At 48.1% G+C, this 12,404-nt stretch overlaps 1 protein-coding gene across 1 annotated transcript in view; it reads left to right on the forward strand.

The window, feature by feature from the left end:
- The window catches only part of LOC124903571 (serine-aspartate repeat-containing protein I-like), a 64,902-nt gene that overhangs the window by 3,227 nt on the left and 49,271 nt on the right, over positions 1 to 12,404 (forward strand). The gene's annotated exons all lie outside the window — the stretch shown is intronic.

Genomic DNA, 12,404 nt, shown 5'->3' on the forward strand with positions numbered 1-12,404 from the left:
GGTTTGGAAGTGAGGTGGGGACCCCCATGGCTCCTCCCAGACCATCACTCTTCTACCTTCCCATAAAACTCCTCACCCAGCCGGGCGCAGTGGCTCATGCCTGTAATTCCAGCACTTTGGGAGGCCAAGGCAGGCGGATCACCTAAGGTCAGGACTTCAAGACCAGCCTGGCCAACATGGTGAAACCTTGTCTCTACTAAAAATACAGAAATTAGCTGGGCATGGTGGTGGGCACCTGTAATCCCAGCTACTCAGGAGGCTGAGGCAGGAGAATCACTTGAACCTGGGAGGCAGAGGTTGCAGTGAGCCACTGCACTCCGGCCACTGCACTCTAGCCTGGGGGACAGAGCGAGACTCAATCTCAAAAAATCAAACAAACAAACAAAATCCCTCTTCACCCACCTGCTCCTCAGAGGCTCCCACAGCTGGTCCCCTCATGGCTGTCACCAAGGCATCTTTCCCACTGAATTTCCGCCTTCATGGAGGGGGCTCCCCATGAACCTTGGCCCTGGCTTCTGATTTCAGTGGCCTTCTTCTCACCCCCAGCCATCCACTCCCATGGCCTCAACCTAGAGATGCTCTACCTCTACGATTTAGGCTGACCTCAGCCTCTGCTCCTTCCACCTGCTCTCCGGGCCCTCCCTTTACACCTGCTCATCAAGGGCAGTGAGAGCTGCAAAAGAACTCTCAGCACATAATGACTCCACCTGAACCCTTGCACCCAGAGACTTAATAAAACTCTAGCATCGTTTCTAACAGCTCAAAGCAGCATCACTAGATGATGACTCCAGTGCTTTAAAGTCCCTGCCTGGGAAAGCTCAAGATGGCCAAAAGAATTTATTGTTTGTTCCAGTCGAGGGCCCCTGTCTCCCAGTCTCTGTGGGAGGGCACTTAACTTTGATAAGTGCCAGTCACCAAACCTAGCTTGCCTGGTCATATAGAGCAAACTCCTGTTTTTGCCCTTCAATGCCTGTTGCCTGGCTCATCCCACTTTAAAAAAAAAGCCTTTTGGCCTTTGTTTTGAAGAAGTTGAGTTCAGTTCATGCTGAACCCTTTTCCCTATTGCAATAGTTATCATTGAATAAAATCTGTCCTTACCATTTTAACTAGTGTCTAGGTTTGTTTACCTTTGACAATAGCAAGTTCTGTGCATCCGCCCCTTCCGCCTTCAGTCCCTTCCCTTCCCAGTTTAGATACCAATATCTACCACCACAAGCTTATCTTGCCAGTGTCCTCAATTTCTTTGCCTCTTGGTTCTTTTTGTCTGTCAACCTAGAAACTCCAGCTCTGACCTTCTCTGCAGGCACACCAGCTACAGCAGGCCTGAGAGGCAGCCAGAGAAAATCACATAGCCGCACAGATTTGTTCATTGTCTCTGATGTGCCTCTATGCCTGGCAATCTGACTGTGTTTTCCTTATCTGCCATGTCTTCATTCTGTTCCATCAGTGTCTGAGTCTGCACAGTGTTGCTATGACAGAATACCACAGACTGGGTAATTTATAAAGAAAAGAGATTTAGTTGGCTCATGGTTCTGGGGGTTGGGAAGTCCAAGAGCATGGCACTAGCATCTGGTAAGGGTCATCCTGTGGTGGAGGGCTGGAGGGCAAAGGCAAGCATGTGAAACAGAGAGGAAGGGGACCAAACATATCAGGAGCCCAATCCTGCAATAATGGCATTAATCCATTCGTGAGGGAGTAGCTCCTATGACCTAATCACCTCTTAGAGGCCCCACCTTTTAATACAATGGCAATTAAGTTTCCAACACACAAACTTCAGGGGGACACATTCAAACAATAGCAACCAGTTAACACTTCTCCCCAAATCTCAGCCTTCTGATCAAATCTCTGCTATCCAAAAAAAAAAAAAAAGTGTCCTCCTTGAACTTCACTGTCCCTTTCTCTCCTTCCCATCACATCTAAACCTCTCAAGAGGGTGGGCTTCATTTGCTTTCCTTTCTCAACTCCCACTCATTCCTCAGCCCATGCAGTCAGGCTTCACTACCCATGGTGTCTTCAGCAAGACCACAAATGTCCTCCTGAGTACAAAGTCCACCTTTTTTTCCTTTCCTTATTGACCTTGGAGCACCATGCCATGCTGCTGACCACCTCCCCCTTCTTGAAATACCCCCTTCCCTTGACTTCAGGGACACACACTCTTCTGATTTTCTTTCTACATCTCTGGCCAGTTCTCAGGATCTTTTGTGTCCCATCCTCTTCTACTGGCTCCTCACATGTGGGTGATATCCCTGACTCTATTGTATGCTCTTTTTTTCCCCCACGGGGTCTCTCTCCCTGAACGCCAGACCCTTGGCTTCAGTTGCCATTCATGCCTTCAGCCCAGACCTCTCCTGTGGGCTCCAGACCTGCTTATTTGGCTTCTTGGATGTGTTACAAGCAGCACACACTGAAAATGTCTAAACATTCACACTCTTCTCCAAAGACCCCTGCTCTTCCTGCTCAATGAACGAGACCACCATCATCCGGTGGCTGAAGCCAGAAACACTGGCATTATTCCTGACTCCTTCCTCTGCCCCAACATCCCATCAGTTCAAAAGTCTTATTTCTCCTTCATAAATATCTCTCAAATATGTCCACTTCTTACCATATGCACTGACACAACTTCAGATGATTTCTTGCCTAGGCTATGGCAACAGCCTCCTAACTGGCCTCTCTGCCTCCAGCCTTGCTCTACTATAATCCATTATCCATGATGCTACCAGAGTGGTTTTTCAAATGTAAATCTAGCCATATCTGCTTAAAACTCCTAACAAATATCACTGGCCTTAGGATAAAGTCCAAACTCCACTGGCAAATAAGCGGCTCGGTGGTCTGGCTGCTGTTGCTCCCTCAGCCTTCCCTCCAACCAGTGCCCTCCTGACCACTGCACTGTGTGCTCATGCATGTCCATGGGCTTTCTGCTGGTGGTGATGGTGGCGATGTCATTCATGGCAGTGGAAGCGATCAGATGTCAGTTGTTGGTGATTATGGTGGTAACTTTAAACCACTGCCCATCACATTTTCAAGGCGATCTTTGGAGGCTGACTTCATCCAACAAATATTCCTCGCTCCTATTTCCTGCAGGGTTAATTATGCATGCCCATCTCAGATCCACCTCCATCCAGGACTGTTTTAGGGCTCTCTGTTTGGGGCCCTGGCGAGCTCCCACATTGACTCTTGGTTATCAGCCTGAACCTATGTCCAGCGTTCATCTCTTTCTGGCCTTCAGTTGAGCCCAGCATGTTGGTGATGGGACAGTGATGGCGATAAACATGAAGATCCTGCTGCTATCAGCACTCACTGGGGAGACAGACAAAGTTGCCTGGGGACCCTAGGAGAGGAGCCACTGGGAGGTCCAGCCAGGTGGTGCTGGTTCCAAGTCCTGCTGCGTCCAGCAGTGATCAGCTGATGGGGCTGCTTTGACCTTCTCAGAGGTTTGGCTCTGAAACACTGACCTTCACCGACTTTCTCTGTATACCCAGGGCTGATGGTCTGACCCCCAACACAGGGCACTTGGTTGCCAGGCTGGAGCCCTGACACTTCTGATACAGACAACATCTCTTCCCAATACCAGCATTTATTTGCATCTATGAATATGCATGGAGGCTGTTTTCCTGAACTGGGGAAGGTAGCTGGGAGCTGGGAAGACTGGATATAAGCTGTCTGGGGGGTGATCACAAGGCACTGATCTGCCCCTGTGGTAGGCAGAATGACGGGCCCCAAAGATAACCAGGTCCTAATTCCTGGAACCTATGAATGTTACTTTGCCTGACAAAAAAATATATAAAAGTTTGCCAAGGTGATTAAGGATCTTGAGATGGGAAGATTATCCTGGATTATCTGGGTAGGCCCTCTGCAATCACTGGTGTCCTTATAAGAGGGAGACAGAGGGAGGTTTGACCCAGAACAAGAAGACAAAGTACCCACAAAAGCATGATGATGCGCTGAGGGCTTTGAAGATGGAGGAAGGGGCCATGAGCCAAGGAATGCAAAGGAAAACATCTAGAAGTGGGAAGATACAAGGAAACAGATTCCGCACTGGAGCCTCTGGAGGGAGCGTGGCTCTGCCAACACCTTGATTTCAGCCCAGTGAAACTGATTTCAGGCTTCTGACCTCCAGAACTATAAGAGAATAAATGTGTGTTCTTTTATGCCACCAAGTTTGTGGCACTTTGTTACAGCAGCAATAGGAAACTAATACAGTCCCCTTCCACCCTCCCTCTCTGTCACTCCTCACTTCCTCTTGAGTTGGGTTAAGCTGTGGGTAAGCAGGGTAGCTGAGCGCTGAGTGGTAGAGAAGACAGTCCTCCTCACCTCTCCTTGGGGCCTGGCACCCTCTGGTTCCATTGAATGGTGGCTTTGGAAACATTGGAAGGTGACACCTCCTCAGAGCAGTAGTCACACATGGGTCACTGTCAGAGTGACATGCTCAGGCTACTTCCAGTGGCTTTGCTGGCAGTAGGTGTTGAGCTGGGGCAGAGAGGAAGGATTCTAGAGAAGCCATATGGGGATCGTGGCTGACAGAGCGATGCTTAAGCATATGTGTGCTCCCTTTTTTGGAACTCCCAGAAATACTTGTGGCAGAGGAGGAAGAGGGCAGAGGTCCTGTAGGCGCAAGAAGAGAAACAGCAGGAACTTTGAGTTATGGATGTTAATGGAGCTTTATTTATAGCCACAGACTGGGAGGGTCTGATAACATTTGTGTGATGTTGCTCCTCTCGCTGGCTACTCCCCCACTGCCTTTTCGCATAGGTGGCTGATTAAGCAAACAACGATGTCCAAATGCTTTCATCCCCTTTCCCTGTTTTCATTCAGTCTCCATCTTTTTCTTATTGAGTTGAAGGAGCACTTTCTGTACTGGGGAGAGTATTCCCTTCTCTATCACGTATTGCTACAAATACCCATTTCCCCTAGTTTCTTATTTCCTTTAACTTTTGTTATGCGGTGTTTGCCATGCAGAAGTTTTCTTTTTTATAGTAAAGTATAAAACTAAAAAGTAAAAAAAGTATTTTTTTTTAATTTATTTATTTTTGAGACAGGGTCTCGCTCTGTCACCCAGGCTGGAGTGCAGTGGCACCATCTCGGCTCACTGCAAGGTCCGCCTCCCGGGTTCACACCATTCTCCTGCCTCAGCCTCCCTAGTAGCTGGGACTACGGGCACTCGCCACCACCCCCAGCTAATTTTTTGTATTTTTAGTAGAGACAGGGTTTCACCATGTTAGCCAGGATGTTCTCAATCTCCTAACCTCCTGATCTGCCCGCCTCGGCCTCCCAAAGTGCTGGGATTACAGGCATGAGCCACCGCGCCCGGCTGTAAAAAAGTATTTTTACGATCAAACAATGCCTTTTGATAGTAAAGTATATCAACATTTCCTTTTACCATCTCTGACTTAGATAACACATTTAAAGAGCTCTTCCCCATCTCAAGAAATACTCACTTAAATTTTCTTTCTATAAATAAATGTTTATATACATATATAATCCATATTTCTCCCATTAATTAGCAATGCCTCCTTTCATCATATACTAAATTTCTATACATACATGGTTATATATTTCTGGATTTTATCTCTGTTCCATCGATTTGCTTCTCTATTCTTGTTCCTATACCACTCTGCCCCCCCAAATTACTGTAACATATATTATCTTTAAATAATAAGAGGAGTCTCTCTCCTGTGATACTTATCTCATTCAGAATTCTTTCCTGGGTTTCTTACCAGATTAACTATCTAGTTAAAATAATTTGATCATATTTTAAAAGATCATAGGCTGGGCAAGGTGGCTCATGCCCGTAATCTCAGCACTTTGGGAGGCTGAGGCAGGCAGATCACGAGGTCAAGAGATCAAGATCATCCTGGCCAGCGGGATTCCCAGAGTCTTCAGATTTGCCCTGAATTGAGGGTGAAGGCAGGGATAATGGGTGAAGCTGTGGGTGTGGGTGAAATTCAGAAGGAGATTGAATACTAAACAAGAGGAACTGAAGGTGGAAGACCGTTGGCATGTGTGGGGAAAGTGAATGCTGCGAATGTGGATAAGAGAAAGCACACAGAGGGGAGAGGTGAGACACCAGCAGACGGGTGTCAAATAAGCCGGAGGAGGAGGAAAGCTCAAGACCAGCATAGTCGACAGAGTGCCATGTTGCAGGGCGGAGGGCGGTTGCAGAGAATGACTGCAATGGAGCTGTGGGCTGTGTTGGTCGTGGCTGATTAGCGATGAGGTGGTTATAACATTTAGTGTTTAAACTGGGACTGTTGGAGAAGACTCTGAGACAACAGGGGTAAAGCAGGATTCTTCCTGGAAAACTGAGACACATGGTAACCCCAGTTAGTGGTGACCTCTGAGAAAGTGGTCTCGTTGGAGGGATGGCCAAGGTGCCTAGGTTACATGGGTTGATGGTACACTGTGCTTTGTAGAAGTTTGGCCCAAAAGATAAGGAAAGAGTTGGTGGTAGATGGAGGGGAATCAAGGTTGAAAGGGGTGGGTGTATTTACTTGTCTGTTTTCTAGGCTTGAGAGATTTGTCCATCTAGGGAAGGGTAAGGACTTAGTAAAAAGGGAGAGATAGAAGATACAAGATATAGAAGGGATAATTAACAAAGAGAGAAGATACAGGAGGGCAAGGGCAAGATCAGCAGTGTATAAAGGACATGGGGTTAACCTGGAAGAGGAGGACAGTTCCTGATAAGAAGGAAATAAAAGAATGCATGGCAAATGGAGGAAAGTTGAGGTGCAGAAAAGGGAATTTGAGAGAACTAATAATTTCTCAGGAATGGCTGCTGAGAAGGAGGTGGGCAATCTCTTTGGAGTAAAGAGCCCCCAAAGGAAAGGAGTAGAAGCCTTTAACCCCTTTCTTTCAGTAATTAACACGGCTAGATTCCCTCTAATGGATTGAGATGGTTCTGAATGAGACCCATTAGTGGTAGGGACCTGGCCAGGGTCTAAGCTCAGTGCCAGGCCCAGGCTCTAAGCTGGTAGGGTTCTGGCTGGTGTGTCTGGGCTGGAAGCCTCTCCCATCCTAGGCACTTTGGCACATTGGGGGTCTTCCTCCATTGAAGAAGGACCACAATCCCTGTAGAAATCTGGACCAGTGAGAACATCACTGTCTCGGTGGGCAAGGATGCTCGGACTGTGCAGGGCCAGGTTCTACTGTGACACCTTGGGGTGGCAGCAGAAGCCACAGTGAGTCGGAGGCTCCAGCGCTCTCCTCACCTGGCTTTGGATGGAGGAACCAGCCCTTCGGATTCAGGAAGTCCTCCAATTCAGGGTGGAGGAAGCCCCCAAGAGACAGACACTGGATTTCTTGTTACTTCAGACAGGCTCAAATGGTTAATATGAAATATTAGTCTAATTTATAACCCAATTTCAGTATAATAGAATGGTATGCAGCCATTCAAATATGTTGGAAAATAACGTTTGATTACATGAAAAAAATATTCAGGAATATTCATAGAACAACTAGTATGAACACAATAATCTGATTTTTGAAAAGAATATGTAATATATCTATATAGAGACAGATATAAGACTGTAAGAATATATGCAAGTTAGCAGTGGTTGTTTCTGGGTGATGGAATTATGAGAATTATGAGTGATTTTTCTTTTGACTTACCTTTATTTTCTACAAGGTGCTTATATGGCTTTTTAGTAAGTTAAATAACAAAGTCATTTTTTCAAAGGATTGCCAAGCAGTAACAGGACCCCAGCTGAGCCGGGAGGGGGAATCTGTTGAGAAGCCAGTGCCTGAGCCCGGGTTACTCTCCCCAGCTGCACTCAGCAGGTACAGCTCATGACTGTGTAAACTGAAGGGAAAAACAACGTGGCCAAATTTAGCAATGCACCTAGCCCATGGGACACTTCCAGGGGGAGCTGCCCTGCATTCCCCACCTGGGGCTCTGTAGACCACCTTTGAGCTGGCGACTTCAATCCAGATGGCATCGGTTACACTTTCGCCCTTCTCTTGACTCTGCACACAACTATCCTCAGCCCATCTGTACCCAAGGCCAAATGGGAGAGATGAAGGTGTAAACCAAAAGTGACTGAGACAGGTTTCCATCGAGTAAAGGTTTATTTAGCCAAGGTTAAGGACAGGCCATGCGGGCTGTAGGTAGAGGGTGGGAGGGAAGGTAGGGAAATTCAAGCCACAGGAGCATCTGTGACCCATGCTTTTTCCAAAGGGAGTTTTTGGGAACTTTCATATTTAAAGGGGGAAGAGCAAACAGGAGGGAAAAAAGAGGGAGTGAGGGTAGGCCGTGAGGCAGATGATTACGGTCTTGTGAGGCTCTGATTCACCCCAGTAAATCTACATTTTACATGTGAAAGAGAGCAGAAGAAAAAGTCAATGATGCTTTATCCTGCGCTGAGTAAATCTGCATTTGACATAAGAGAAAGTAAACATGTGAAAGGAGGGAGCAGAGGAAATGAGGCTCTGACAGGGTTGTGAAATCACTGCTGCCTGTTTGGGAACAAAAGGAAAGCAGTTCTTGTGTGACTCAGTTCCCCAGCTTAACTTCCCCTTTGGCATACAGAGTTTGGGGTCTTGAGATCTATTTTCTTTCACAAGGGTTTAGGAAGGCTGAAATAAGCAAGGGGTTCTCAGAAGGAATGGACTACGGTGGCTACAGCTGTGATTCCGGTTATGTGCCTGTCAAGGTCACCGCGCTGCACAAAACTGTGGTTTTTCCACCCTCTGGTGGGAAGAGGGGCAAGGACACTGCCAGCCAGTAGGGAAAGGCGCAAATCAGACCAGAACCCAGCATCTAGAGGGAAGGCCTTACAGCTCTAGCCAGAGTCCTTGATGAGTCCTAGACAGCATCCACCCAGGGGGCACGGTCAGCTCGCTCATCCTGGCCGGGGCTAGTGGCCCATCCTGAGTGTCACTGAGAGGGGCCCATGATACCTCCCACCTATATTTGGTGGATGTGTGCAAGGGGGTCGCTGAGGGGTGTGGACAGGTCTCCACTGGAGGGTGCGGAAGGGGCTGAGCACTAGCCCTTTCGGCTCTTTCCAGATCCCTGAATCAGATATCACCACCTGCCCCATGGGAAGCCTGTTAGCCAGCCGGATCTCTCTGCTTAGCACACAGGGCTGTCTCTCTCCCAGGAGCAAGGCCTTTGCCAAACAGCAGGAGGGGTGAGATGGGGCAGGTGAAGAGGGAGGGGCCTCCCCTGGCCCACCCCCATGCCTACGTGAAGATTCTCTAAGTGAAGCGCCATCCCTGGTACCTACCACTCTCTTGAAGATTCCCACAATGATGGTGAAGGAAACGCAGTTTATCTCTGACTCATAACAGGCATTCCATAAATATTTGTTGAATGAACAAGTAAGTGAGTGAAGTAATTAATTGATTTTGTGGGCACATGGCTAGATAAGGAGACAGACTCTTTTTAGACGAGGGACATATAGATAAAAATACCCATGGTGCCTGGCCATGAGTAAAAGAAAGGCTAAGTTGCCAAGGTTTGTTGACTATGAGTCAAAATTTTTATGTATTAATCATGATACTTTAAAAAGTCTTACATTGAGGCCGGGTGTGGTGGCTCACGCCTGCAATCCCAGCATTTTGGGAGGCAGAGGTGGGCTGATCACCTGAGGTCAGGAGTTCAAGACCAGCCTGGCCAACATGGTGAAACCCTGTCTCTACTAAAAATACAAAAATTAGTTGGGTGTGGTGGCATACACCTGTAATCCCAGCTACTTGGGAGGCTGAGGCAGGGGAATTGCTTGAACCTGGGAGGCAGACATTGCAGCGAGCCAGGATTGTGCCACTGCACTCTAGCCTGGGAGACAGAGCAAGACTCTGTCTCAAAAAAATAAAATAAAAAATAAATAAAATTTTAAAAATAAAATTAAAATAAAAAGGCTTATATTGGGACTAGAACCACAGAGTATCAAGTCCAACCAAGTCCAAGTTTCAGATAAGAAAACAGGCCTGGAAGGAGAAGGGAGTGTCCAAAGCCACAGCTGGTAGAATTTAAGCAAACTGCAGGCCTCTTGCTTCCCGGTCCTGCAGGGGTCTTGTGCCTCATGCTACTTCTGCAATGCAGCTGGGGGCCTTTTCCCCAGGTGCAGGGTGTATGTGATCAGTTTTCCTTATAAATAAATATTGGTTGGGCATCTACTGGATGCAATGTACCTATTATATGCCAAGCAAGTTGCTAGATACTGGTGGTAGAATGGTGGACCAGATATTAACTTGACAGGAAAGGAGATGGGCGATTAATCTGGCAATTTCAATAAGGAAAGTACACCCAGCTTTGGGAGCCCAAAAAAGGAATGCCTAGCCCAGACCTAGGGTGAAGGGTCAGGTGGGAGAAGCTTGAGGTGGAGAGCAGACATTCCACACAGGAGCCTTTCCAGGGGCATTCCCTCACCCTGCTCCCCCAACCCCCGCATTCCTGGCTGATCTGTCTCCTACTTGCCTGGGAGTGCCTGGCTCCAGAGTCCCAGGCACTGCAGATAAGAGTCACACCTCAGAGGCCAAGGGGACAAATATGCAGGACAGGCTGCTCAGATAGAGGGAGCCTCAGGAAGGGGTCAGGCTCCAGAGGGAGGCCCTGGGAAGGAAAAGCTCTTCGGGGGGATGTGGTGGGATGGTATGAACTCAAAGGCAGAGGCCTGACCTGCAGGCCCCTCTCAGCAGGCCCTTCCCAGCCCTGTTGAGTTTTGCTCTTCAACCATGAATCTCAGTCTTATTTGGAGGCCAAAGCTTCTCTAGGAGAAGGAGACCCCTCATCTTTCTGGTCTCCTTTCCACCTCCCTCCTCCCATCTGCCGATGGGACAACTTCATAGACAACTCACCCCTCTTGCCTCATCAGCCCATCCTGAGTCATTTCTTTCATCCCTCTTCATTGGATGGCTCCTGAAACTCAATCTCTTCCAGAGAAGTGTGGAGGCAGAGTCAGAAGTGGAGAGAGAGAGAAACAACCATGATCCTCCTCCTCTCCATCATCCTAGTCCTAGTAGTTGGGCTAACATAGACAGGAGCCTATGTATCGGTCAGAAACCCTGCAGGAAATGGAAGCAGGAGAGCTGTGAGTTAGCATGTTGCTGAGGGGCAAAGTCCTAAGAGAAAGAGGGCAAAGAAACTCCATCTCCTTCCCCACTGGATGTGCTGGTTAAAATCATCAGCTAAGGTAGGTCTGGCTTCTCTGAGATTTCATTGCTACTCCTGATTGGCCTGAGGCAGCCCCTGGGCACTTTTCATGCTTCTTGATGAGGAGTTCTTAACTGGGCTACTGGGGTTCCATGCATGGCTCCAGGAGGTCTCTGGAGCCCCCAAACTTGTATGCAATACACTGCATATTTGCACGTGTCCTTGTTTCTAGAAGGCTCACAGGTTCCATCGGATTCCCAAAGGTGTCCATGACACATAAACGGTACAGAACCCCTCATCCAGGTCTTTGGAGGAAGACACACCTCCTGCTCACCTGCCCTCTCCCGAAAGGCTCCCCTCCCCTCCTCTGGGTTTCTTCCACTCTTGTGCTTCTGTAGACAGCCTGTTCCCAGAGCCAACTGGGGCCATGTGCTTCTCTGCTCACCTGGACACAGCACCACGCCTCTATCGACTGCCCTATTTAGGAGCTGCTGAGCTGACAGCAGAAACCAGGACTGCATTTGCCCCCTCCAGAGGCATCTAGGCTTTGAGGAAGGGTGTGGGCGAAGAGCCTCTGAATCTCTGGACTTAAGGAGCAGGAGTTCTGGAGTCAAAAAGACTTGCACTTCACCCTGGATCTGTGCCACCTTGACAATTTAATGAACCTCCCTGAGATTCTGTTTCCTCATCTATAAAATGGGGTGAATGCCTCCCCACAGGGGTGTTTTGAGGATTGAGGTAATGGCTATAAAATGCCAGGCACTCAATAAATATTAGCTGTTATCTGGCATAATTGGACCCAGAAATTTTCTCTCCAGTGTCCCTGGCTGGAGGTTGTCCAGCTCTTTCTGGGAGCTGCCACCTCCCAAGGCAACCCAGCCCCATTTGGACAGCTCCCACTGTGAGAAACTTCTTACGTCAGTTGGGAACTCTGAGTTGAAGTGACAGAAATTCAACTCACTGGCTCACCAAAATAGGGAATGTATTGGGCCAAGAAATTGGGAAGGGTAGCAGCAGAAGTGACCTCAAGGACTCTGGAGACCTAAACAATGTTGTCAGGACTTTTCTTCTCTCTCCCTGAAACTCTTGGCTCTGTTTCTCCGTGTGATTGGCACAAAGTCACCAACAATTCCCAGCATATCTCATCCCAGCTTGGAGAACCAGAAGATAGAGAATCTTTCTCCCAGTGATCACACATACATTCTCAGGGAGGATTGAGAGAGGCCAGGCGTGGATCACATGCCCATCTCTGAGCCAATTACCATGGACAGGGCCATGGGCGCTTATGACTGGCCAGGTGTTGTCCCACGACCTG

The sequence above is a fragment of the Homo sapiens genome, chromosome 15 (assembly GCF_000001405.40).
Source record: "Homo sapiens chromosome 15, GRCh38.p14 Primary Assembly".
Classification (NCBI taxonomy): domain Eukaryota; kingdom Metazoa; phylum Chordata; class Mammalia; order Primates; family Hominidae; genus Homo; species Homo sapiens.